The sequence below is a fragment of the Homo sapiens genome, chromosome 19, assembly GCF_000001405.40.
Source record: "Homo sapiens chromosome 19, GRCh38.p14 Primary Assembly".
In the NCBI taxonomy this organism is placed as follows: domain Eukaryota; kingdom Metazoa; phylum Chordata; class Mammalia; order Primates; family Hominidae; genus Homo; species Homo sapiens.
The window spans coordinates 58,057,162-58,083,841 of NC_000019.10; the positions used below are offsets into that span (position 1 = coordinate 58,057,162).

Here is a 26,680-nt window from a genome sequence, read left to right on the forward strand (position 1 = left end):
GAAGACCGGAGTCTCAGACGCCACCTTTCTCCCTGGCAGCCAGGGTCTCTTGGGTCAGAGGAGGCCTGGACACTGCCAGGTTTTGAAGCTGTCAAAAAGATTTTTTTTTTAAAGGGAGAAATATGTCCAGGGAGCTGTAACTGTTACAGTATATTTTAAATGTATGTGTTGAACAGATTAACTTTTTGAACATTAACATACAGCATGACACAGTTCTGCTATCCATGCTGTGATTGCAGGATTGCTTGGAAGCTGTACTGATGTGCAGCCCACCTGCTCATGGTGGGGGGTCCTGTTCCAGGCCACAGAGAGGCAACCAGCAATGCTCTGCTTGGAGATTCGTACAGGAAGCCAAGAAGGAGCTGAGAGGGGCCCAGCCAGTGGTTACAAGAGACAGCAGGAGGTTCAGACCACAGCAAGGGTGGCACTGGAGTAGCCTCCAGCTCATCTTATTTGACTGGTAGAGTGTTATTAAAGCCTTTGAAATCCCTACCAGCTTTTAAAAATCAAGAGATTTCACATAGAAATCCTGATCTCTGGGTTCTTTAGAGAAATCCAGACCTGGGACGCTGGGCTTGCCAGTCCGCACGACCCCACTTGGCTGGAGCCAAGCAGCACTTGCCCCTGTAGAAAGAGCCCGCCCCTGCAAAAGCATGTACGGTTTAGAAACCTGGCTGAGAAAAACAGAGGATCAGAAGGTCTGAGGGAGGAAACAGAGGGGCAAGTTTGAGGGAGCTGGGCAGGGCCGCCTGGCCACCATCAGGGCTGAGCAGGCTCAGTGTGGCACCACTGACAGCTTCTCACCAGGACTATCAGACCGCTTGGGAAAAAGACTTCACCATGAGTTGTGTGTTCATACCTTTTGATCCAGTAAAAGGAAACGGTTGGGGGTGGGGGTGGGGGGCAAGAGTATACATTTTGTGAAAGAAAAAATACACAAAAAGATGTTTTGTGGCATTTGGGTTTGTGAGTTCGAGAACTGAAAAACGGCATTTTATGTATAATGGAAAGCCTCTTTACTGCTGTAGAGTGAAAAGCAGGCTGGCTTTCAGTGCGACGGTCACAAATGTGGGGCTTTACAGTACTTGGAATGTACAGGACGCCCTTAAAAGCCAAGAAGCTTGCCTTTGCTTTGTTTACATCAGTGCATTATGATTTTGAGCCATTATATCTCTTCATAATTGCCACTGTTTTAGGGCTTATGAAATTTAAAGTCTTAACTTGTGTGTTAACCAGCCAAATCTTTGCAAGTGTCTGTGTGTGGTACGAGAATTCGTATTGTGTTCTCTGCTGTTTTCAGAGTTGTTTCAGTCAAAGAAAAAAAAATGCCCGTCTTAAAACTTTTCCTCTGCTTCAAATACAGCTCCCAAGCCCAGGCTGATTGGAATTAATCTGTCCTCCCTTAAAAGGGCAAAAGCACAAGGCTCAGCCCTGGCTTTCCCAGCTCCTCTGGTCTCGCTGCTCCACGGACGTGTGACGTACGCTGGTGAAACGAAGCCCGCTTGAATGGGGGCTTCACTATTGTGTGCTGCTGAACCTAGGCCTAGCGCCTGGCAGGCTTTGGTGAATGTTCAGAAAATGACAATTCATTTCGTGTCAGCGAGGGCACACCAGCTTTGAATATTTTGCTGCTGTTCAAATGCACAATTTTGACAATTACCTAGCAATGTCCAAAGTCGTCATAATTGTTAGTGTCTTGCACGTGATGTTCCTTATAACCATGTAATAAATACAGTGTGAAGTCTCCATGGCTGCCTCAGTGTGGAAAATGCAAAGACTCCCGTGTGTGCGATCTTGGTGAATGTTTTGGTTGAAAGTATGTGTTTTGAAAAAATCATTGCTTTGTTTGCAGCAGTAAAACTGACGGTAGAGTTTCCAACACGAAAGCCCGTGTGGTCGCGCCGGGAGCTCACGGCGTTCCAAGCGGCACTTATCCCGCGTTGATGCCCAGGCACCCCGCGCGCCCTGTTTCACCAGGCCCAGTCACTCCAGCTCCAGCAGCACTGAGAGCTCACGAACGCCAAGGGCGAGAGCGAGGTGGGGGAGGGCGGCCGGAAATGCGCGCGCGGCTCTCTGGGAAATGGAGTTAGGCTCGCGCCGGCGCAGTGTCGGCTGCCGGTGCCGCGGCCTTTGTCTCGCAGTCAGGAGGGTGAGCTAGGCCGGCGAGGAGGGGGAGGGGAGGCCAGGCCGGGCCGGGCCGGGCCGGGTGCGGGGGGTCCGGGGATCTTCCTGAGGCCCTGGCGGGGCGAGTTTCCAGCAGCGCGCGTCTGTGTGGAGTCCGTTTTGCTGCCCGGGGCCTGGGGAAGGCCGTTTCGGGGCTGGCGGGGGCAGGCTTTGCGGGGCATCCCTAGTCTGAGAGGAGGGCGGGGCCCAACGCCCAGCTGGACAGGAGCTGCTCCGACGGCCCCTGAGGGAACGCGCGCCCCGCCCCTGGCCCCACCTCTGCCCCACACCGGGCACTGGGCCGCCACCTTTGTTGATGGAAGAGAGAAACTGAGGCATAGTGCCCAGGGCCAGGGGACCGCAACCACCCGGCCCTTGTCACTGTAGCGTTAAGGCTCAGAGTCTGCGCAGCAGATATGTGTCCGCACCCGCCAGGCCTTCAGCTTCCCTCAGACAGGCGGGAAAACCCTAGGCTGCCCTTCTCCGAGCGGAGGGCCGCCCCACACACAGCAGGCGCTTAAACGGGTACGCGGGGCCCTGGACGGCTCTCCGCGGAGCTCCCCAGGCTCTGGCGCAGTTCCCCGGCTTGGGGACCTGAGCACCGCCTCTGCCTGCCCCAGCTGCTCACCTCCCCTTTCCCACAGAGCAGGGCCAGCCGTTCCTGCCAGAAGCCAGGGCATGACCCCTGGGGTGCGCGTCTCCACAGACCCGGTGAGAATCTCGGCCTCCTTGCGCGTGTCCTCCACCTCGTGCCCGGCCTCCTCGCGCGCGGCCTTCTCACGCCCGGCCTCCTCTTTGCACCCCGTCCCTACTCGCGCTCAGCCTCCTCCTTGTGCCCGGCCCCTACTTGCGTGCCCGGCCCCTACTCGTGCCCGGCCTCTACTCGCACAACTGGCCTCTACTCGCGCACCTGGCCTCTACTGGTGCCCGGCCTCTACTCGTGCCCGGCCTCTATTTGCACATCTAGCCTCTACTCGTGTCCGGCCTCTACCTGCACACCCGGCCTCCTAAAGTCCGCGCCAAGCTCCCCAACCACAGCCTGCCTCTGAAAGGACCGCCCACGCCGCGCTGGAGGTCAGCGGGCACGGGTCCCTGTCTGAGTGGGCTTTATGTTTGTGCGGCCGTCATTGCATACCTGAGGCTGGGTGATGTCAGAAAATTGTAGGTGCCCCGGCTCTGCAGTCTGAAGTTGAAGGCCTTAGCATGCTCTGCGCTCCAAGATGGCGCATCGAGTGCCGCTTCCTCAGACGTCATGGAGGCCAAGGGGGCGGAACTCGCCTTTTTATGATGACATTAACCCCACCCATAAGCCACCAGAAGAAACCAGCCTCCTGTAGGAATGTCAGAAAACCCGTACAAGGGGACTGGTGCGATGGCTTGTAGCTGTAATCCCAGCTATGGGGGAGGATTGCTTGAGCCCAGGAGTTGGAGGCTGCAGTGAGCCATGATGTGCCACTGCACTCCAGCCTGAATGACAGTGGAACCCTGTCTCTAAAAAATTAAAAAACAAACCCAGATTTGGCCGGGCGCGGTGGCTCGCACCTGTAATCCCAGCACTTTGGGAGGCCGAGGTGGGCGGATCACGAGGTCAGGAGATCGAGACCATCCTGGCGAACACGGTGAAACCCCGTCTCTACTAAAAATACAAAAAAAAATTAGCCGGGGGGGTGGCGGGCGCCTGTAGTCCCAGCTACTCGAGAGGCTGAGGCAGGAGAATGGCGTGAACCCAGGAGGCGGAGCTTGCAGTGAGCCAAGATCATGCCACTGCACTCTAGCCTGGGCGACAAAGCGAGACTCCGTCTCGGGGGAAAAAAAAAACCACCCAGATTCAGTCTTTAGACTTCTGCTACTAGCTTTATAACTTTGTTTATCCCCTAGGCTGAAGTGCAGTGATGCAATCATGGCTCACTGTGCTTCAAACTTACGTGCTCAAGTGATCCTCCCACCTCAGCCTGTTAAGCAGCTGGGACCACGGGCATGCGACACCATGCTGGGCTGGTCCACTCCTTTATTGCTGGCTCCCTCCATTTCTTATTTCAAGAGACAAATTATTGGAAACGGGCATGATGCCTTAGATTCTAAGATCCTCCACCTCATCAGCAGGGCACCCATCCAGGCCCCACAGAAAAACCTGACCCAAAACCCCAGACCAAAGGGAACTCCATCCGACCCAGCCTGGCTGGCATTTACCAGCTACCCCACCAGCAGCCAGTGCCAGGGTTGGCTTGGCTGAGGACACTCGTGTGATGTTTCAGGAGCAAGTGACGTTTGAGGACGTGGTAGTGGGCTTCAGCCAGGAGGAGTGGGGGCAGCTGAAGCCTGCCCAGAGGACCCTGTACCGTGATGTAATGCTGGACACCTTCAGGCTTCTGGTCTCTGTGGGTAAGGCCACACCCATGTCCTATCTGTTGATCTGTCCCTGACACGGATTCTGATTCTACCAGGTTAAATATTTATAGGACTGAGCTTTAAAAGCAAATGCCTGGGGCTGTATGTCTTGGGCTTTAAGAACCTGACTGTTTTAATGTAGGAAATATCAATTAAGACCAATATTAGCAAGTCTCAGACTCAACCTGAAATCAACAGAAGCAGAGAAACATGAGGTGAGGGAAACATACTGGGTCTGAAGACTACAGAATCCCAGGGTAGACCAGGGTGTTCTGTAGAGCTGTTAGGAGCCCCTCCTTCTTCAACACCTCCCTCTGCACTTCTGTCTTAGTCTGTTAGGGCTGCTAAAATACCTTAGACTGGGTAATTTTAAACAATAGATATTTGTTGCTCATGGTTCTGGAGGCTGGGAAGCCTAAGATCAAGGTGTCAGCAAATTCAGTGTTTGGTGAGGGCTTGCTCCTCACTGATGGCACTTTCTTCCTGTGTCCTGACATGCCATAAGGGCAAGGGAGTTATCTCAAGCTTCTTTTATAAGGGCACTGATCCCATTCATGAGTGGAGCCCTCATGAATTAATCACTTCCCCAAGGCCCCACCTCAACACTATCAGATTAGGTATTACATTCTAACATTTGAACCTTATTTATTTATTTATTTATTTATTTGTTTTTAAATTTTTTATTTTTGAGACAGAGTCTCGCTGTGTCACCCGGGCTGGAGTGCAGTGGTGCGATCTCGGCTCACTGCAAGCTCTGCCTCCCGGGTTCACACCATTCTCCTGCCTCATCTTCCTGAGTAGCTGGGACTACAGGTGCCCACCACCACGCCTGGCTAATTTTTTTTTTTTTTTGTATATTTAGTAGAGACGGGGTTTCACCGTGTTAGCCAGGATGGTCTCGATCTCCTGACCTCGTGATGCACCCACCTTAGCCTCCCAAAGTGCTGGGATTACAGGCGTGAGCCACTGCGTCCGGCCTGAACCTTTTTTATTTTTAAGAAACAGGGTCTTGTTCTCTTGCCCAGGGTGGAGTGCTGTGGCACAGTCATACTTACTGCACACTTAACCTCCTGGCTCAAGTAAACCTTCCATTTCAGTCTTCCAAGTAGCTGGGACTACAGGTGCATACCACCACACCTAGCTAATTTTTAAAATTTTTGTAGAGACGGGTCCTTGCTGTGTTGCCCAGGCTGCCCTCAAGCTTCTAGGCTAAAGTGATCCTCCCACCTCAGCCTCCCAAAGTGCTGGAATTACAGGCATAAGCCACTATGCATAGCCTGAATTTTAGGGGGACACCAACATTCAGACCATAGCAATCTCTTTCTGGCTTCATTTCCAGAGAGGCTCCTCTGGAGGTGACAAGACAACTGCCTGGGGTGCCTTTCCTGCAACCAAGACCAGCAGAAAAGACAGGATCTGTGTCCCAGGGTTGTCCTGGTTTGGCTGCCAGGTCTTCTTCACAGTGATCATTGATGCCAGTGGGCAGGGGAGGAACCAGAGTTCTGATTGTCCAGGCTTGGGTCACATGTCCACCCCAGAACCAGTGGTAGGGTCAGGGACTGAGAGTAGGGGAATGAGTCCCTGAGGAACATCCAGGGCTGTGGGTATGACAGCTGAAGTCACTCAGGGGTCCCCAGCCATCTGGGACCTGGAAGACCAAAGGTGGAATGGGCTGAGGCTCAGGAAGGGTCCTGGGATACAAATGCTCACTCTATGGGTCTCTCCCTGAGCAGGACATTGGTTACCGAAGCCGAATGTCATCTCCCTGCTGGAGCAAGAGGCAGAGCTGTGGGCGGTGGAGTCTAGACTTCCCCAAGGCGTGTACCCAGGTGAGATGGGAGCCCTTCGGGGCAGAGAGAAGCCTGTCCATGCTTGCTTCCTGGTTTCTCCCTCTGCATCTGCTCTCTAATTCTTCAGAGCAAATTTACTACTCAGTCTTAGTGAAGATTTACCAAGCACCCATTTTGCTGTGAGTGACGACACCACGTCCTCATCTCCACTGAATTTATATTCTTGGTGAGGGAGTGGGGGAAACAAACAATAAATCGGTAAAATAATAATAATAAAACAAGTTGGATGATTACAGATTGTGATGAATGCCGAGAAAATGAAAATGAGCAATGAGGTAGACTAGGAGGGGGATGAGTAGACTTTAGCAGAGAGATGAGGGATAGCCTCTCCAAGGAGGTGACATGTGACTTGAAGCCTGAGCCATGAGGCAGTCTGAGTGAACAGTAGTATTTCAGGCAGAGGAAACAGCAGGTGCAAAGGCCTGAAGTCATGCATCAGTCAGCTTTTGTGTAGGAAAACACTCTGACCTCAGTGGCTTAAACCAAATAATTGTTTATAATTCATGTGTCTGTGGGTCAGTGGATCCAGGCTGGGCCCTACGCCATGTGCCTGTAGGGTGATTGGTAGGTAGCAGAGGTATCCCAGCCCACTGACAGGCAATTTCCCATTGGCATCAGGTGGGAAGAGTGGCCTGTCACCAGAGTCCAGGAGGGATGGCCAGTGTGGGAAAGGGTCACAGTAGGGTCCCTCCACATCAATAACAGCCCTTACCCAATATATTAGCTTCCTATTGCTCCTCCTGCAACCAGTTACAAATGACCCGTGAATAACATGGGTTTGAACTGTGTGGGTCCATTTATACATGGATTTTCTTCTGCCTGAGCCACCCCTGAGACAGCAAGACCAACCCCTCCTCCTACTCCTCAGCCTACTCACTGTGAAGACAATGAGGATGAAGATCTTTATGGTGGTCCACTTCCATTTAATGCATAGTAAATATATTTTCTCTTCCTTATGATTTTTTTAAATAGCTTTTTCTTTAGCTTACTTTAAGAACACATTATATAATACATATACAAAATATGTGTTAATTAAGGGCTGGGAGCAGTGGCTCACACCTATAATCCCAGCACTTTGAGAGGCTATGGCAGGTGGTATTTGAGGTCGGGAGTTCAAGACCAGCCTGGCCAACATGGTGAAACCCCGTCTCTACAAAAAAAAAATACAAAAAAAAAAAATTAGCTGGCCATGGTGGCACGCTCCTGTAGTCCCAGCTACTCAGGAGGCTGAGGCAGGAGAACTGCTTGAACTAGGAGGTGGAGGTTGTGATGAGCCAAGATCACGCCACTGTGCTCCTGCCTGGGTGACAGAGCAAGACCATGTTTCAAAAAAAACAAAGTGTTAACTATTTATTTTATCAGTATGGTCAACAATAAGCTATTAATAGTTAAGTTTTTGGGGAGTCAAAGGCTATACACAGATTTTCGATTGTACTGGGGTCAGTGCCCCTAGCCCCCTCATTGTTCAAGCGTCAACAATACTACACTTCGTAGCATAAAGCAAAGCAAATTATTTTAAAGTTCGGGAGATCAGAAATCCACAATGGGTCTAGCTGGAATATAATAAAGATGTCAGCAGGGCATCATTCCTTCTGGAGGCTCTAGGGAAGGGAAGAATCTATTTCTTTCTCTCCTTTTTGTTTTTTTAAGAGATGGGGTCTTGCTATCTTGCCTAGGATGGAGTCCAGTGGTATGATCATGGCTCACAGCAACCTTGACCTTCTGGGCTCAGGTGATCCTCCTGCCTCAGCCTCCTGAGTAGCTGAGACTACAGGTGTGTGTCACCATGCCCAGCTAATTTTTTTTTATTTTTTGTAGAAACAAGGTCTCATCATTTTGCCCAGGCATGTCTTGAACTCTTAGGCTCAAGGAGTCCTCCCACCTCAGCTGCCCAAAGTGTTGAGATTACAGGCATGAGGCCCTGTGCCTGGCTAAGAATCCGTTTCTTTGCATTTTTCAGCTTCTAGAGGCACCCACATTCCTTGGCTATGGCCTTGTCCATCTTCACAGTCAGCAAGGCCTGGTCAAGTCACATCATATTCACTCTGACTCTGACCCTTCTGCCTTTTTTCCCCATTTAAGGACCCTCGTGATTACACAGGTCCACCCAGATAATCCAGTGTAATTTCTCTATCTTAATGTTAGCTGATTAGCAACCTTAATTCCTCCCTCCCATGTAATTGGAAACATACAGGTTATAGGGTTAGGATGTGGGCATCTTGGGAAGCCACTATTCTGCCATTCACTCTGGCTTAACTTTTTTTTTTTTAATTGAACTTTTCACTGAAACATAACAATATGGGGAAGGTGCCCACATCACACCTCTAGGCCACTGTGGGGTCAGGGTAGGGGCAGCACACACCCAGGTCATGGCTGTGCAGAGAGGGCTGGGTACCAGGGCAAAAAGAGAGTCCTGCCATGAAGGAGGAGGAGGGAATGCATTTGTTCATTCATTAAGCATGTATATTGAGCTCTTGCTGTGGGCTATAGATACAGTGGTAAGCAAGGTGGACGGAAACCCCTACCCTCAAGGGGTTCCCAGTTAGTGAAATGGACAAAATAAGGCAGACCAAAGCACTCTAATATGCCACGGGTCATTTTTCTTCCTCTTAGTGATGTACATTGCAGCTATTCCTGTTTGTGGGGAGCAGTTAGGTTCCTTTACATCTAGAGTGAGGTGGCACAACAGCATATGCTGTCGGGAAGAAGCTGGGTATCAGCCAACTTTCCCCATGCAGCACGTTTTTCTCTGTTGCCACCTGGCATTGTGGAGGCCACTGTAGCTGGAGCCTGGGTGCCACACTGCTCCTTCCAAGTCCAGTGCCTCTGTGTGTCTGAGTGCTCTCTCCTGGGCATCCGCTCTGCATCCTCCTCTGTGCTCCCCTCACAGACTCCATTCATACTCCTTGTGCCAACTGTTTTTTCCTCCCTCTCCTCTTCCTTTCCTTATTCTGTTCTTTCCTCTTCCTTTCCTTATTCCTTATTTTCCTCTTCCTTATTCTGTGTTTCCCTCTCTTCCTTTCCTGGTTTGCAAAACTATATTTTTAAATGGTCAAAGCCACTTGAACCTTGAACGTTTCAAAATAATTAGTTTTATCCTTCCTCTTCCCATCTCACCACAAACTCTTTTGCCGTGGAACAGAGATTAAGGGACATTTCCAGTTTTTGCTTCTTTCAGACTTGGAAACTAGACCCAAAGTCAAACTGTCAGTTCTAAAGCAAGGCATCTCTGAAGAAATATCCAACAGTGTCATCTTGGTAGAAAGATTCCTGTGGGATGGTCTGTGGTACTGCAGGGGTGAGGACACTGAGGGCCACTGGGAATGGAGTTGTGAGAGTCTAGAGAGCCTGGCAGTGCCGGTGGCCTTCACGCCTGTGAAGACGCCTGTTCTGGAGCAGTGGCAGAGGAATGGGTTTGGGGAAAACATAAGTCTGAACCCTGATCTCCCACATCAACCAATGACTCCTGAAAGACAAAGCCCCCACACATGGGGAACACGTGGAAAAAGGGAGAAGCCAGACCTAAATGTTTTACAGAAAACCTGTGTAAAAGAGAAACCCTACAAATGTCAGGAATGCGGAAAGGCCTTTAGTCACAGCTCAGCACTTATCGAACACCACCGGACGCACACAGGAGAGAGACCTTACGAATGTCACGAATGCTTAAAAGGCTTCCGGAACAGCTCGGCACTTACCAAACACCAGAGAATCCATACTGGGGAGAAACCCTATAAATGCACTCAGTGTGGGAGGACCTTCAACCAAATTGCCCCACTGATCCAGCACCAGAGAACTCACACAGGTGAGAAGCCCTATGAATGCAGCGAATGTGGGAAATCCTTCAGTTTTAGGTCCTCCTTCAGCCAGCACGAGCGAACTCACACAGGCGAGAAGCCCTACGAGTGCAGTGAGTGTGGGAAAGCCTTCCGGCAAAGCATCCACCTCACCCAGCATCTGCGAATCCACACTGGGGAGAAACCCTATCAGTGTGGTGAGTGTGGCAAGGCCTTCAGCCACAGCTCATCCTTGACCAAACACCAGCGAATCCACACAGGGGAGAAGCCCTACGAGTGCCATGAGTGTGGAAAAGCCTTCACCCAGATCACACCACTGATTCAGCACCAGAGGACCCACACAGGAGAAAAGCCCTATGAGTGTGGTGAGTGTGGGAAAGCCTTCAGTCAGAGCACACTCCTGACCGAGCATCGGAGGATTCACACAGGAGAGAAGCCCTATGGATGCAACGAGTGTGGGAAAACCTTCAGCCACAGCTCCTCACTCAGCCAGCATGAGCGGACACACACAGGAGAGAAGCCCTATGAGTGCAGTCAGTGTGGGAAGGCCTTCCGGCAGAGCACACACCTCACCCAACACCAGCGAATCCACACAGGGGAGAAGCCCTATGAATGCAATGACTGCGGCAAGGCATTCAGTCACAGCTCGTCCCTCACCAAACATCAGCGAATCCACACTGGGGAGAAGCCCTACGAATGCAACCAGTGTGGCAGAGCCTTCAGCCAGCTTGCTCCCCTCATTCAGCATCAGAGGATCCACACAGGAGAGAAACCCTATGAATGTAACCAGTGTGGCAGAGCCTTCAGCCAGAGCTCCCTTCTCATCGAACACCAGAGGATTCACACCAAGGAAAAGCCGTATGGGTGCAATGAGTGTGGGAAATCCTTCAGCCACAGCTCCTCGCTCAGCCAGCACGAAAGGACGCACACTGGGGAAAAGCCCTATGAGTGTCACGATTGCGGAAAGTCCTTTAGGCAGAGCACCCACCTCACTCAGCACCGGAGGATCCACACAGGAGAGAAGCCATATGCATGCAGGGACTGTGGAAAGGCCTTTACCCACAGCTCCTCCCTTACCAAGCACCAGAGAACTCACACTGGATAAACCCACTCCACATGTGCTGGGGACATAGGAAGACCTTAAGCCATAGCTCATCCCTTTCTAGATTTGACCCAATCATACACATGAGAAACGTACATTCATACACAAGCCTTTTCACACAGCACTCCCCTCAGACACCCTCAGAGAGTTCACACTGATGGGAAATGACCATGGGACCACCAAGCTCTAGGTCATCCATCTCTGCATCCAAATAGTAGGGAAACGTGGAGATAATCAACACTCAGGACCTTCAGCCTTGAACGCCCATTAGTGCTATGTTATAGAACCTACAAAAAAGAAATGGAACAAATGTAGTGGATCCAGGGAACGCTTTTGTCCAAGGATTCACCGTATTCCAAACCAGAGATGTTCAAATTGGTGAGAAACCCAACAAATGCCTTTCATATATACGAGAACCAAATGAAGTCAGAATTTGCCATTATTGCACATCACATTTTTGGGGGGGAAAGTGCTTATGAATGGTGCAGGTTGACTCTGATATTCATTCCCAAATGACAGTATGGCAGAGTGTTCCAGAAATGAGAGTGGCATCTTTATGGAATCACTGTGGATACTGACTGTCTCAGTAAACAGCTGTCTTGTCTGTGTGTATATTGTTTGATCAGGGTACATGGCAGCCAGTCACAGATTGGAATTACATATGACAAAGTATCAGTGTACTATAAACAGGTTTTTAGTTATCCCTGCATTATTTTTGCAATTAATCTTTATATGCAATGAGATTGAAAAGCTTTGTATGGGAAGACTCAAAATGTAAAGCTGCTTCCGTAGAGTCTCACTGATTCTGAGATGGCTTTTGCTGCTCTGTTCTCCCTCTACATTTCTCTGCAGAACTCGCGTTAGAAACACAGATATTTGTTTTACAAAAAGGGAGATTTTTCCTTTGTTAAACCATCGTCTTATAAGCAATAGCAAATTCATGTTAGAAACTTCTGTTTTGCAAGATTCATCTTTTTTGGGATATGTTCAAGTTAATCCTCTCAAACTGCTTTTTCATTGTTTTCATACAATTTAACATTTTGTTAAACCCTAAGTCCACAAATAGCAGTCTTTCTGACAACTATAACCTTTAAATGGTGACTTGCTGCCCTCATTAGAAATTGCATTGGCTGGCCAGGCGCGGTGACTTATGCCTGTAATCCCAGCACTTTGGGAGGCCAAGGTGGGAGGATCACCTGAGGTCGGGAGATGGAGGTTGCAGTGAGCTGAGATCGTACCATTGCACTCCAGCCTGGGCAACAAGAGTGAAACTCTGTCTCAGAAAAAAAAAAAAAAATTGCATTGGCTGTTTTTGGTTATTAGCTGTTAGTTGTGGTTACATCCATCAATTTGATTTTTCTAATCCCAATGCTGGGATATAAATTTCCAGTTACTTGAAATTTCTCTCTTGGGGAGACCATGTTGCAGATAGTCTTCCAATATTGCTTCTCATTATGATTGTGGAGTGCCTCTTGGGATAAATGCCTTTGTCATTTACAAGCCACCGGAGAGCCAGGCATGGCTGCACCTGCCTCTAGTCCCAGCTGCTTGGGAGGTTGAGGCAGGAGGATCACTTGAACCCAGGAGTTCTGGGCTGTAGTGTGCTCTACTGATTGGGTGTCCACACTAAGTTTGGCATCAATATGATGACCTCCTGGGAGCAGATGACCACCAGCTTGCCTATGTAGGGGTGAACCAGAGCAGGTCAAAACTCCCATGCTGGTAGGGCTCACATCTGTAATCCCGGCACTTTGGGAGGCCAAGGTGGGCAGATCACCTGAGGTCAGGAGTTCAGGACCAGCCTGGCCAACATGGTGACACCCCGTCTCTACTGAAATTACAAAATTAGCTGGGCACGGTGGTGCATGCTTGTAATCTCAGCAATTTTGGAGGCTGAGGCAGTAGAATCACTTGAGCCTGGGAGGCGGAGGTTACAGTGAGCCTAGATTGTGCCAATGTACTCCAGCCTATGTGACAAGAGTAAAACTCAACCTCAAAAAAAAAAAAAAAACTCCCATGCTGATCATTAGTGGGATCGTGCCTATGAATAGCCACTGTGCTCCAGCCTGGGCAACACAGCGAGACACCATCTCTAAAAAATAAAAGCCACTGGAGAAAGCCAGGGTACACAGTGCATAGCAGCACTGTCTCATTGAAACAATGCAAGTCATATAAATAACTTTAAATATTCTGGTAGCCCCATTTAAAAAACAAGAAGAGGCCCAGGCACAGTGGCTCATGCCTGTAATCCCAGCACTTTGGGAGGCTGAGGTGGGCAGATCAGTTGAGGCCAGCCTGCCCAACATGGCGAAACCATGTCTCTGCTAAAAATACAAAAATTAGCTGGGTGCAGTGGCATGCACCTGTAATCCCAGCTACTCGGGAGGCTGAGGCACGAGAATTGCTTGAGCCTGGGAGGCGTCAGTGAGCCAAGATTGCACCACTGCACTCTAGCCTGGGTGACAGAGCAAGACTGTCTCAAAAAGAAAGAAAACGCAAGAAGAAACAGGTGAAACTAAAATTTACCCCTATATATCTCAAATGTTAGCAGTTTAACATACCAATATGAAAAATTATTGAGATATTTGCATTCTTTCTGTTACGTGACATCTTCAGAATCTAGTGTGCATCTTTTTTTTTTTTTTTTTTTTTGAGACGGAGCCTCCCTCTGTCACCCAGGCTGGAGTGCAATGGCACAATCTTGGCTCACTGCAACCTCCGCCTCCCGGGTTCAAGTGATTCTCCTACCTCAGCCTCCCGAGTACCTGGGACTACAGGCATGTGCCACCACGCCTGGCTAATTTTGTAGTTTTAGTAGAGATGGGGTTTCTCCATGTTGGTCAGGCTGGTCTCGAACTCCTGACCTCATGTGATCCGCCCGCCTCGGCCTCCCAGAGTGCTGGGATTACAGGCGTGAGCCACCACTCCCAGCCTAGTGTGCATCTTATACTTGCATCACATCTCAGAGTTGACCATAGCGACATTTCAAGTGCCCATTTGACACGTGCAGCTCAACAGTTTGGTCTTTGGTCAGCTGTTTTGTCCTCCTTCCCTTTACTACCTGTGTCCTCCTGCCTTTCCCTGTGTTCCTATCCTTGTGTAGCATCTTGTGCTCAAGGAAACCAAATGTGCTAGGAAGATCTGCTGCTTTAGGTAATTGGAATGACAGGTGCCTACTCATTTCAGGCTCCCTAGGATATTATTCTTATCACAGAACATTACATTCAGGAAAGAGATTATGGCCAGTCTATTCCAGTTCAGTTCAGTAAAAATGGAATCTGGCACATGCACTTTTGCAGTCCTTTGAAAGTGCTAGATTGGCATAATCACCAAGAAACGGTAATGTGAGTTCTTTCCTCTCCACTCAGCCCCTCTTCATCAGACCTCCTTCAGCGACACAGGGGAAATACAGCAAGGATTGGGTACTACAGAGAGGTGCCCACAGTATCACTTCTCTCCTAAGCCAGGGAAAGAGATGAGATTCCTCTCCCTGATGGTGCCAAGCCAGTGGAAGGGCACTGTGGGGGTTACACCCTCCTGAGTCTAGAGGACCTTGCTTACTACGCCTCAGTTATTGGCACACAAGTAGAAGATCAAGTGGGAAAACAGGTGAATGCAGGTGAAATAAGAATGAGGGAGAGTTCTGAGGCTAGTTCAGAAAAGGCCATACAGCGTCTGTCTTTTTTTGCTGGAACACTTGTGCTTGGAGCCCTGAGACACCACTTGAGAAACCCACTGGCCCAAGGCCACCATGCTGTGAGGATGAAGCCACACAGGCTCTGCTCAGGGTGTCAGTTCACTCCTAGTCTGAATCTCCCCAGCCTCATCAGGCCTGTGACAGAACAGTCTTCAGATGATTCCAGCCTCCCAGCTTTCAAGGTACCTCAGCCTTCAAGTTCCCAGCTGAGGCCCCACACATGGTGGAGCCGACCAAAGTCATAAAGTCATCCTTGAATGTGCCTTTTTTTTTTTTTTGAGACAGAGTCTAGCTCTGTTGCCCAGGCCGGAGTGCAATGGCATGATCAAGGCTCACTGCAGCCTCCACCTCCTGGGCTCAAGTAATTCTCCTGCCTCAGCCTCCCAAGTAGCTGTGATTACAGGTGTGTGCCACCGTGCCTGGCTAATTTTTGTATTTTTAGTAGAGACAAGGTTTCACCATGTTGGCCAGGCTGGTCTCAAACTCCTGACCTCAGGTGATCCACCCGCCTTGGTCTCCCAAAGTGCTGGGATTACAGGAGCAAGTCACTGCACCCAGCCTGAGGTCTGTTTTTTTAACTGTGCAGGCAGCCGCTCCACTCCACACTGCCTCTTGCTCCTCCTCTGGCCATGTGATATGTCTGCTCCTACTTCCCCTTCCACCATGAGTAAAAGCTTCCTGAGGCCTCCCCAGAAGCTGAGCAGATGCCAGTGCCCTGCTTCCTGTACAGCCTGCAGAACTATGAGCCTGTTAAACCTCTCTTTTTTATAAATTACTCAATCTCAGGCATTTCTTGATAGTAACACAAGAACGGCCTAACACAGTGAGCACAGTTTCTGGGTGTGCAGCCATGAGACTGAGAGGAAGGTCTGGTTCTTTAGCAAGGAAAGGTTCTGTCTCTTTCTGGATGCAAAGGGAGAAGTATGCTGCCTACCACCTGCAAGCACAGAGAGGACCATCCTGTACAGAGTCAACTCAGAGAAGACAGCAAAGCCCAAACTCATCTACAATTCAAGCAGGGGCCCCACCCTGGACCTTGCATCCTGGTCTTTCACAGCAAATAAATAATAACCTCAGCTGGGCGTGGTGGCTCATGCCTGTAATCCCAGCACTTTGGGAGGCTTGCTCGAACCCAGGAGTTCAAGACCAGCCTGGGCAACATAGTGAGACCCCATCTATACAACAGATAAAAAATTAGCCAGTCATGGTAGCGTGTGCCTGTACTCCCAGCTACGCAGTAGGCTAAGGCAGGACTATCACTTGAACCCAGGTATTTGAGGCTGCAGTGAGGTATGGTTTCACCACTGCACTCCAGACCATGTTTCTAAAAAAAAAAAAAGTAAATAATATCCTAAAGTGTATACAATTTTGAGTTGGATTTCTGGTGACTGGCAGCCAAAAATGCATCTTGAGTGGAAGAATCGTAGAAAGTAGAGAATTAAGTATCCTTTGGCTTCCCATTGTGTTTCTGAAAAAAAGTCAGGAAAGCTGGTGCGATGGTTTGGATATTTGTCCCCTCCAAATCTCATGTTGAAATGTGATCCCCAGTGTTGGAGGTGGGGCCTAGTGTGAGGTATGTGGGCTATGGGGTGGATCCCACATGAATGGCTTAGTGCTGTCCTCATGGTAATGAGTGAGTTCTCCCTTTATGAGTTCACCCAAGAGATGGTTATTTAAAGGAGCCTGGCACTTCCTCCCCTCTCTCTTGTTTTCTCTCTCACTATATGATGCACCAGCTCCCCTTTGCCTTCCGCCATGATTGGAAGCTTCCTGAGGCCTCCCCATAGTGCAGATGCCAGCACTATGCTTCCTGTACAGCCTGCAGAACCGTGAGCCAAATAAATCTCTTTTCTTTGTAAATTACCCATCCTCAGGTATTCCTTTATAGCCGTGTAAACAGACTAACACAGCCAGGGCCGTTGGAAGTTTTGTGGAAGCACTGGGTAGGACTGACGTGTGGTAGTCACTGTCCCTCCTGAGTCTCCTCTTATACTGTATGTGAGAGGGAGATTCTTTCAGGCAGCAAGTATTTTCCAAGCACCAACTATAGCTCAGGCACAATTCCAGACTCTGGCAACTAAACTGATGAAACTCGTGGTCTCAGGAGCTTATATTTTGGTGGGGAAATGGAAAATAGAGAAATTAGGATGTTATGGGCACATTACACAGTAAGTGTTATGTAGAAACAAAATGGTCCAAGAAGGGAAACCCCAGGCTGGGCGCAGTGGCTCAAGCCTGTAATCCCAGCACTTTGTGAGGCCAAGGCAGGCAGATTGCCTGAGGTCGAGAGTTCAAGACCAGCCTGGCCAACATGGAGAAACCCCGTCTCTACTAAAAACACAAAATTAGCCGGGCATGGTGGCACGTGCCTGTACTCCCAGCTACTAGGGAGGCTGAGGCAGGAGAATCTCTTGAAACCGGAAGGCAGAGGTTGAAGTGAGCCGAGTTCGCACAATTGCACTCCAGCCTGGGCAACAAGAGCGAAACTCCGCCTCAAAAAAAAAAAAAAAAAAGAAGAAGGGAAACCCCAAGTCCTCTGGACTTTTTTTTTTTTTTTTTTTTTTTTTTTTTTGAGGTAGGGTTTTGCTTTGTCACGAAGGCTGTAGCTTCAACCTCCTGGGCTCAAATGATCTATCTGTCCCACCTCAGCCTCCTGAGTAGGTGGGACTACAGGCATGTGCCACCATGCCTGGTTAACTTTTAAATTTTTTTAGAGATGAGGTCTTGCTATGTTGCCCAGGCTGGTCTCAAACTCCTGGGCCCAAGCGATCCTCTTGTCTCAGCCTCCCAAATGCTGGGATTACAGGCATGAGCCACTGCGCACAGCCTCTCTGGACTTCTCAGTTACCTGAGCCAATTCATTCCTTTTTGGTTTAGCCCCATGGCAGGTAACACAAATTCAATCCAATTAAAGAAACACAACTAGTAAGCTGGGTGTGGTGGCTCATGCCTGTAATCCCAGCACTTTGGGAAGCCAAGATGGATGGATCATTTGAGGTCAGCAGTTTGAGACCAGCCTGGTCAACATGGTGAAATCCTGTCTCTACTAAAAATACAAAAAATATATATATATATATTAGCCATGCGTGGTGGTGCGTGCCTTTACTGCCAGCTACTTGGGAGGCTGAGGCAGGAGAGTTGCTTGAACCCGGGAGGCAGAGGTTGCACTAAACCAGGATTGCACCACTACACTGTAGCCTGGGCAACAGAGAAAGGCTCTGTCTCAAAAAAAAAAAAAAAAAAGAGAAAACACACACACACACACACACACACACACACACACAACTGGTAAATTACCTGCCCCTCAAAGTGCAGTGATGATTAAATGAGCTCCTGGAATCCCAAAGCGTGTGGCAAAGTATAAAGTGAATGTAAAACATCCGTTCATTTGCGTTACTTGTAAAACTGTCATGCCCATTAAATGCCCAAAAAAAGAGGCTGTTTCTGAAGACAGTCTCTTTGTTATAGTACACACATACTTTATATAGCAGCACACAGATGTATATATTTAGATACCGTATACATTCTTATAGAGAGGAGGAGGTTTAAGCTTTAGCTGTCCTTAGGAGAAGCCAAGAGTGACACCATGAAACCACACATCGCTGGCTCACATCTGAACTCAGTGATTTAGATTTCTGCTGGGAGGCTTTTCTGCCTTCAAAGGCCGCTCCATGCCATTTCTTTTTCTTTCTTTCTTTTTTTTTTTTTTTAAATCCTTAGGGTCTTACTCTGTCACCCAGGCTGGAGGGCAGTGGTGTGATCATAGTTCTCTGTAGCCTGGAACTCCTGGGCTTAAACAATCCTGCCTTAGCCTCCTTAGTAGCTGAGACTACAGGCATGCACCACCATGCCCAGCTAATTTTTTATTTTTTATTAAGACAGGGGCCCACTATGTTGTCCAGGCTGGTCTCGAACTCCCAGACTCAAGCAATCCTCCCACCTTGGCCTCCCAAAGCACTTGGATTATAGTCATGAGCCACCACTCCACCATGGTCCACGCATTTCTGTCACACACTCACCCCCAAGTTCTGTTTATTTTAGGAGAGTGAGGGCTTTAAAGGAAGGTCTCAGGGTTTACTGTCAAAGGAATTGATTCGTTTATTCTTCTCTTTGAGCCCAGAGTAAACAAGTATAAACCACACAGAAAATGCCCCTGGCCCTATGTGGGTTGCAAGTTAGTGGGCAAGATAGGCAAAGCAAGTCATCAGAAGAAAAGCAAGGTGAGTCATAGCGGAGAAAACACAGTAAGACGGGCCAGACGCAGTGGTTCACACCTGTAATTTCAACACTTTGTGAGGCTGAGGCGGGTGGATCACCTGAGGTCAGGAGTTCGAGACCAGCCTGGAGAACATGGTGAAACCCTGTCTTTACTAAAAAATACAAAAATTACCCAGGCATGGTGGCAGAAGCCTGTAATCCCAGCTACTCGGGAGGCTGAGGCAGAAGAATTGCTTGCAGTGAGCCGAGATTGTGCCACTGCACTCCAGCCTGGGCGACAAGAGCAAGACTTTGTCTCAAAAAAAAAAAAAAAAAAAAAAGTGATAAGATGAATACCAGCCCAGAGATGATAACAACTTGGGGATTATTGTGTTTGGTGAATGGGGTGAGGGACGTCACATTAAAACCATGGCATCAGGGCAAACCTCCGTGAAAAGACAGGCAGAGCCACAGCTGGAGAGACCTCCCCAGTACTGGGGCCTTGGTGAGGAGCTGGGGAGCTTAGATTTACCATGTCCCAGAAGCCACCCTCTCACTGAGCAGATTTCCCTGGCAGTTGCCCCCATCGCATGTGGCTGGTCCCTCAGGAGCCTGTGTCTCAAGAGCTACCTGGTCAGCCAGAGGCTGGACTTTGGAAAGCTGTTCATTTCATTGAGACATCTGGGAACCTTTCTACAAATTCATGTTCTCTCGAGTTGAGGGAAGGCTGGGCTGCACTATGTTTTGAGGCTCTGGCTTCATGGATTTGCCATGAAAGTAAGCTGAAACTCTAGGTCCCTCACTTTCAGGGATCCCTTCAAGACCAAGCGCCTAATTTTATCTTTGTAATTTTGAATTATTCTTCTGAAGAGGGACCCCTCAGTTGTGTGAGCCTTAGGCCCAACAAATCTGGATCGACCCCTGGTTCCAGCAACCCTCGTCTTAGAGACTTCTGCATGGACACTGGGAAGACAGAACCCAGCACTGCCAAGGGTAATGGATCTCCCATTTTGATGTGAGTGAAAACCACCTGAAGGTGGAGGGTGTTAAACCTGGGACCTTGCTTTGGTTGGTCCGAGGGGGTTTGGTAATCTGCACACCAAGGCACTGGGTGATTCTGAAACAGACCCGGAAGCCTCAAGTGAGAACTGTGCCCAAACTTCCTGAAGCAGTTTGTCTGCGAAGCCCATAGTTCCCAAGTGTGGCCCCATCCCAGGAGCCTCTCAGGTTGAAGGAACAGCTACTAATAAATCACTGACTTCACTGGACTCAGGGTAGGCAGAATGGAGTATCTGCCTTTCTTTGCATCAAAAGCACATCACCCTATCCTGTTCTGTATCTGCCTGAAGGAAGTCCACAGGGTATTCCCGAGACCCATCAGACACCTCACTCATTTTTTCATGATACCCAAGAGACACACTTAGAATGTACGCAGACTACACATATACCAAACACATTATACTCACATCTCATACCCTGAAAAATGACTGGGAGACATAAATACACTGAGATGTCAAAAGGAGTAGTCTGTTGCCCAGGCTGGAGTGCAGTGGCACGATCTCGGCTCACTGCAACCTCTGCCTCTGGGTTCAAATGATTCTTGTGCCTCAGCCTCTTGAAGTAGCTGGGACTACAGGCACGCACCACCATGCCTAGGTAATTTTTTTGTATTTGTACTAGAGTCAAGGTTTCACCATGTTGGCCAAGCTGGTCTTGAACTCCTGACTTCAGGTGATCCTCCCACCTGGGCCTGTCAAAGTGCTGGGATTACAGGCATGAGCCACAGTGCCCGGCCGAATCTGTGTTTTTAACTTTTACATAATTGGGAGAATTCTTTTTAAAATGGTGAAAAATGAACTTTATTATAAAAGCCCATGGCTGGGCGCGGTGGCTCACACCTAGCACTTTGGGAGGTTGAGGTGGGCAGATCACTTGAGGCCAGGGGTTCGAGACCAGTCTGGCCAACATGGTGAAACCCCATCTCTACTAAAAATACAAAAGTTAGCCGGGCATGGTGGCAGGGGCCTGTAATCCCAGCTATTCAGTACACCACGGCGAGAGAATCGCTTGAACCTGGGAGGCAGAGCTTCCAGTGAGCTGAAATTGTGCCACTGCACTCCAGCCTGGGTGACAGAACGAGGCTCTGTCTCAAAAAAAAAACAAAAAAAACTTTCAAAGGAATTTAAAAAACTGAAATAAATGTCCTCATAATTTCATGACCCTAACACAACTACTCTTTGCATTTCTATACTTTGTCTGCTAGGATTTGACAACTAATGCCCACTGTTTACACAGTTGCAACAGAATCAACAGTTACATTCTACTTGAACTACACTTACAAATTACTCTTCCAGCGCCGGGCGCGGTGGCTAACGCTTGTAATCCCCAGCACTTTGGGAGGCTGAGGCGGGTGGATCATGAGGACGTGAGTTTGAGACCAGCCTGACCAATATGATGAAACCCCGTCTCTACTAAAAATACAAAAATTAGCCAGGTGTGGTGGTGCGCACCTGTAATCCAGCTACTCCGGAGGCTGAGGCAGGAGAATTGCTTGGAGCTGGGAGACGGAGGTTGCAGTGAGCTGAGATCACGCCATTGTACTCCAGCCTGGGCAACAGAGCGAGAGCGAGACTCTGTCTAAAAAAAAAAAATTCTTCGATTTTGCTAGTCTTAATTATCATTTATGCCTTTTTACTATTGCTTTGAATGGCTCTACCATTCATATTTAAGTCATAGTATTTAACTTCATGCAAACCAGCATCCTTGTGTATATATATATTTTTGGTCCTTTTTTTTCCTTTTTGTGGAGGAAAAAGTGGGGTCTCACTATGTTGCCCAGGGAGGTCTTGAACTCCTGGGCTCAAGGGATCCTCCCACCTTGGCCTCCCAAAGTGTTGGGATTATAGGTGTGAACCACTGTGCCTGGCCCCGTATTGTTACTGAATACAGTTGGACTGTTAGCTTTCCAAAATGATTGCACTAGTTGACACTGATTCATAAAACTCTCCTCAACTCAAATAGTGATGGCAGACATGTATTTGTCTGCTTGGGTTGTGATCACAAAATACCACAGGCTGGGAAGCTGAATCAACAGGAATTTATTAATATTTTCTCCCTGTTCTGGAGGCTGGAAGTCAGAGTGGGTTCCACGTGAAGCCTCTCTTCCAAGCTTGTAGATGGTTGCCATCCTGCTGTGTCTGCACCTGCCTATGGCCTTTCCTCTGTGTGTGCATGGAGAGGGAGCAATCTCTGGCGTCTCTTGCTATCTCTTTTTTTTTTTTTTTTTTGAGATGGAGTCTCGCTCTGTCGCCCAGGCTGGAGTGCGGTGGTGTGATCTCAGTTCACTGCAACCTTCACCTCCCAGGTTCAAGTTATTCTCTTGCCTCAGCCTCCCAAGTAGCTGGGATTACAGATGCCTGCCACCACACCTGGCTAATTTTTCGTAGAGATAGGGTTTTACCATATTGGCCAGACTGGTCTCGAACTCCTGACCTCAGGTAATCCACCTGCCTCAGCCTCCCGAAGTGCTGGTACAGGCGTGAGCCACTGTGCGTGGTCCTCCCTCTCTTTTTTTGAGACAGCGTCTTGCTCTGTCACCCAGGTTGGAGTGCGTGGTGTATCACAGCTCACTGCAGCTTTGACCTCCAGGGCTCATGTCATCCTCCCACCTCGGCCCCCCACGCAGCTGGGACTACAGGTACATGCCACCACACCCAGCTAATTTTTAAGTTTTTTGTAGAGACGAGGTCTAGCTGTGTTGCCCAGGCTGGCTCCTGGGCTCAAGGGATCCCTCTGCCTCAGCCTCCTAAAGTGCTGGGGTTACAAGTGTGAGTCACCTCGCCCAGCCTCTTGCTTTTCTTATAAGGACACTAGTCCTATTGGATGCAGGCGCCACTCCAACGACCTCATTTAGCCTATTTACCTCCCCAAAGGCCTTGTCTCCACATATCATCAGATTGTGGGTTAAGGCTTCAACATATGACATTTAATTCAGCTCGTACCAGAGGGTGTTTAAGCATTTTCCCATTGAAATGTATTCCCATCTTTCCAGGTGTCCATCTCTCATTTGCTTTTCCTACTTACTTAGAACACAGCTACCTTCCGACACCCTGTATAAACCCACCCTGAACTCTACCCCTCTTCACTGCCAACCTGCCTGGGGTTTTCCCTTGCCCCCTAGAGAGCTCTGTGTCCTTTCGCACACATCCCATCCCTGCCAACTCCACTGGACAGACCTGAGCCACCCTCTCCTGCCTCACCCCACCCATCTTTCTTGCTGGTCCACGTTGCCACACTGTTGTATGGGAGCTGAGACCCACTGCCTCAAATGCCTGAACCAGCCCAGCTGCCCCTGAGGTTAACAAGTGGGAATGTCTAGCTTAATAAAACATCCATTTGTGCTCCTTACATCCTGGGCAGGGTGGTAGTGGTAGGAGAACAGCAAACAAATCCTGAAATCTCAATCAGTTCACTTTTGGTAGTGGTTTGGGAAAGGAAATTCTGAAACTATATTAGAGTTATTTTAAGATTCATCAAATTAGTAAAATGCTGAATTTTGGGGTGTCAGGGTTCTCAGTGTTAAAGAAGACACATAAAAATATGGGCTGGAGGAAGTCATGAATTGAGTTGGAGGTCTTACTGGATATGTACGTGTATGTGCACAGACACACCTTTGTGTGTGACCTGTGTGCAATCATATGCACATATATTTCATAGCTCAGCAGAAGACACCTCAACTGGCACCCTATCTTGGTCTCTAATGCCATTACCCACTAAAAGGAACCAGTTCTTCAAAGACATGGCCAATTTCAGGGCTGAGGAAGGGTAGAAAGGAGATGGGCTTGGAACATCCTACTACACCAAAAAGCAAATAAGTGCTAAAAAAAAAAAATGGAGGCATGTCACAAGGATGCAGGAGTCAACTGAAGGGAGTCTCACTGGCCTCATCTAGGACAACTTGAGCACCAAAATAAGATCAGCAGCGAGTTATAAACCACTGAATAAACAGAAATCCTGAGTCCATTCCAACAATAAAGACAAATTCTTGGGGAGAAGGAAGAGTGCTGGCTGGCAGTAGGATGCTGAGGGCCTGCTGGTCAGCATGGAGGGAGGGCTGGTGTTGGAAAATCACCACCCTGGTAATGATGGATTCAGGCAAGAATCATAAATGAAAGCCAAATTTAGGGGGAAGTTTTGATGAGGAGCAGGATATTTGCATTATCTTTAATCTTTTTGTGACAACTGAAGATCATTGATACTTGCATGATCTTAAAGTATCTTCCCACCGATTCTTATTCGTTAAAAGGAGAAAAAGTTAACTATATTCTTTTTTTGAGACAGGGTCTTGCTCTGTCACCCAGGCTGGAGTGCAGTGGCTCAATCTCAGCTCACTGCAACCTTGACCTCCCAGTTTCAAGCCATCCTCCCACCTCAGCCTCCCAAGTAGCTGGGACTACGGGTGTGCACCACCGTGCCCAGCTTCAGCCTCACAAGTGCTGAGATTACAGGTGTAAGCCTCTGCATCTGGCCCAGTTAGCCATACAGTGGAAAAACTGCACTCTAACCAGGTGAGCAAAGAGAACATCACTGACAGGAGGAATGTGGACACCGTGCACCCTGGATGGGATGGGGGAAGGCGCACACATGCAGGCCACAGGTAAGCAGGGTCGAATGTTAATAGGTGGGTCTGGATGAGGGTTTGTGGATGATCTGTGCACTATTGTATTTTATTTATTGATTTTTTTTTTGACACAGAGTCTCGCTCTGTCACCCAGGCTGGAGTGCAGTGGCGCGATCTCAGCTCACTGCAAGCTCCGCCTCCCAGGTTCACGCCATTCTCCTCCCTCAGCCTCCCGAGTACCTGGGACTATAGGTGCCCACCACCACGCCCGGCTAGTTTTTTTTGTATTTTTTTAGTAGAGACGGGGTTTCACCATGTTAGCCAGGATGGTCTCGATCTCCTGACCTCATGATACGCCCGCCTCGGCCTCCCAAAGTGCTGGGATTACAGGCGTGAGCCACCGCGCCCGGCCAATCTGTGCACTATTTTAATTCTTGTGCCTTTTTAAAATATAAGTTTGTAATTATTTCCAAATAGAAAACTTTAAAAAAAAAAGGCATAGACATCTGGCTGTGCACTAAATGAGACAGGAGATGGGAAACTGAAGGTGGTGAAGCCCTATAACAAATGACGATCACCCACAGCCTGAGAGCTGAGTGGGACACATCACAGGGGATGCTCCCTGTGGCAGTGCAAGAAGGTGAGCTCACAGGTTCGGCTGAGAAATGGGAGGGTACATTTTAGCCTTTTTCTTTTCTTTTTTTTTTTTTAATGAGATGGAGTCTCGCTCTGTCCCCCAGGCAGGAGTGCAGTGGTGTGATCTTGGCTCACTGCAACTTCCGCCTCCCCGGTTCAAGCGATTCCCCTGCCTCAGCCTCCTGAGTAGCTGAAATCACAGGTGCCTGCCACCACGCCTGGCTCATTTTTTGTATTTTTAGTAGAGATGGAGTTTCCCCATGTTGGCCAGGCTGCTTTTGAACTCCTGACCTCAGGTGATCCACCTGCCTCTGCCTCTCAAAGTGCTGGGATTACAGGCGTGAGCCACCGTGCCCAGACCATTTTAGCCTTTTTCTTACCAGAACCACACTCAGCTTGGGGCTTAAGATGGATAGGCTAAGAGGGGAACTAAGCTTGTAACTGTTGCGGAGACAGGCACTCCAGGTGACAGTTCACAGGCCCTTTCAAGTGACTGGAGCCATGGGATCATTTCTCTCCAAGGATTTGTGAGTAGAAGTGATGTGTGTCATCTCCCAGGTGAACAGGTTCGGCCTTCCCTACATGCTCCAAGGGTACAGTGAAGAGCAGAGCTACAACAGAGATGGGGCCTGGATCCCTGAATCACTGTATGGAGCAGAGTGCAAACCAATATATAAGCAACAGCAACACCAACACAGGACAATCGACTGTTAGTAAATAATTTTTTTTTCTTTTTTTCTTTTTTTTCTGAGATGGAGTCTTGCACTGTCACCTAGGCTAGGGTGCAGTGGCACAATCTTGGCTTACTGCAACCTCCGCCTCCCAGGTTCAAGCAATTCTCCTGCCTCAGCCTCCTGAGTAGCTGGGATTACAGGCACGCATCACCACAGCTGGCTAATTTTTTGTATTTTTAGTAGAGACAGGGTTTCACCATGTTGGCCAGGCTGGTCTCAAACTCCATGATCTGCCTGCCTCAGCCTCACAAAGTGTTGGGATTACAGGTGTGAGCCACCACGCCCGGCCCATGAATAAGTACTTACTAAGTCTCTGTGATTTGGGGGTCATTACAACAGACTGCCTGCTCAAACACAGTGACAGAAAAAGAGGCACCAGTTTCTGTATCTACAGGGAGCAGTTAAGTTTATGCGCAGGGAGCAGTTAAGTTTATGCGCAGGCAATGGGAATGATACTGTAATCTTGAGAATAAATGCAATCAATGAAAAGATCACCTTA

General features: G+C 48.8%; 1 protein-coding gene and 1 pseudogene across 13 annotated transcripts; both read left to right on the top strand.

Annotated features, from left to right (window-relative positions):
* The first annotated feature begins 2,077 nt into the window (after nt 1-2,077).
* ZNF135 (zinc finger protein 135) lies at nt 2,078-12,594 on the top strand. Of its 13 annotated transcripts, none has more exons than XM_006723362.5 (5): nt 2,078-2,149; nt 2,808-2,874; nt 4,419-4,545; nt 6,285-6,380; nt 9,544-12,594. In XM_006723362.5, the coding sequence occupies exons 2-5, from the start codon at nt 2,842-2,844 to the stop codon at nt 11,298-11,300; spliced, it is 2,013 nt and encodes a 670-aa protein (XP_006723425.1). In that variant the 5' UTR covers nt 2,078-2,149; nt 2,808-2,841; the 3' UTR covers nt 11,301-12,594. The 13 variants fall into 13 exon arrangements, with proteins under 13 accessions (XP_006723425.1, XP_047295318.1, NP_001158002.1 ...); XM_047439362.1 differs by having other exon boundaries at nt 2,813-2,874; nt 9,580-12,594; NM_001164530.1 differs by lacking the exon at nt 2,808-2,874 and having other exon boundaries at nt 9,580-10,406; nt 11,247-12,594.
* Nucleotides 12,809-13,127, top strand: RN7SL526P (RNA, 7SL, cytoplasmic 526, pseudogene; annotated as a pseudogene).

Excerpts from the sequence above, each read along its gene's own strand:
- ZNF135 (NM_007134.1), top strand. The coding sequence starts at position 2,081 with ATGGAGTTAGGCTCGCGCCGGCGCAGTGTCGGCTGCCGGTGCCGCGGC. Across the intron at positions 4,546-6,284 it reads CAGGCTTCTGGTCTCTGTGG|GACATTGGTTACCGAAGCCG; the intron begins GTAAGGCCACAC and ends CTCCCTGAGCAG. Across the intron at positions 6,381-9,543 it reads TCCCCAAGGCGTGTACCCAG|AGATTAAGGGACATTTCCAG; the intron begins GTGAGATGGGAG and ends GCCGTGGAACAG.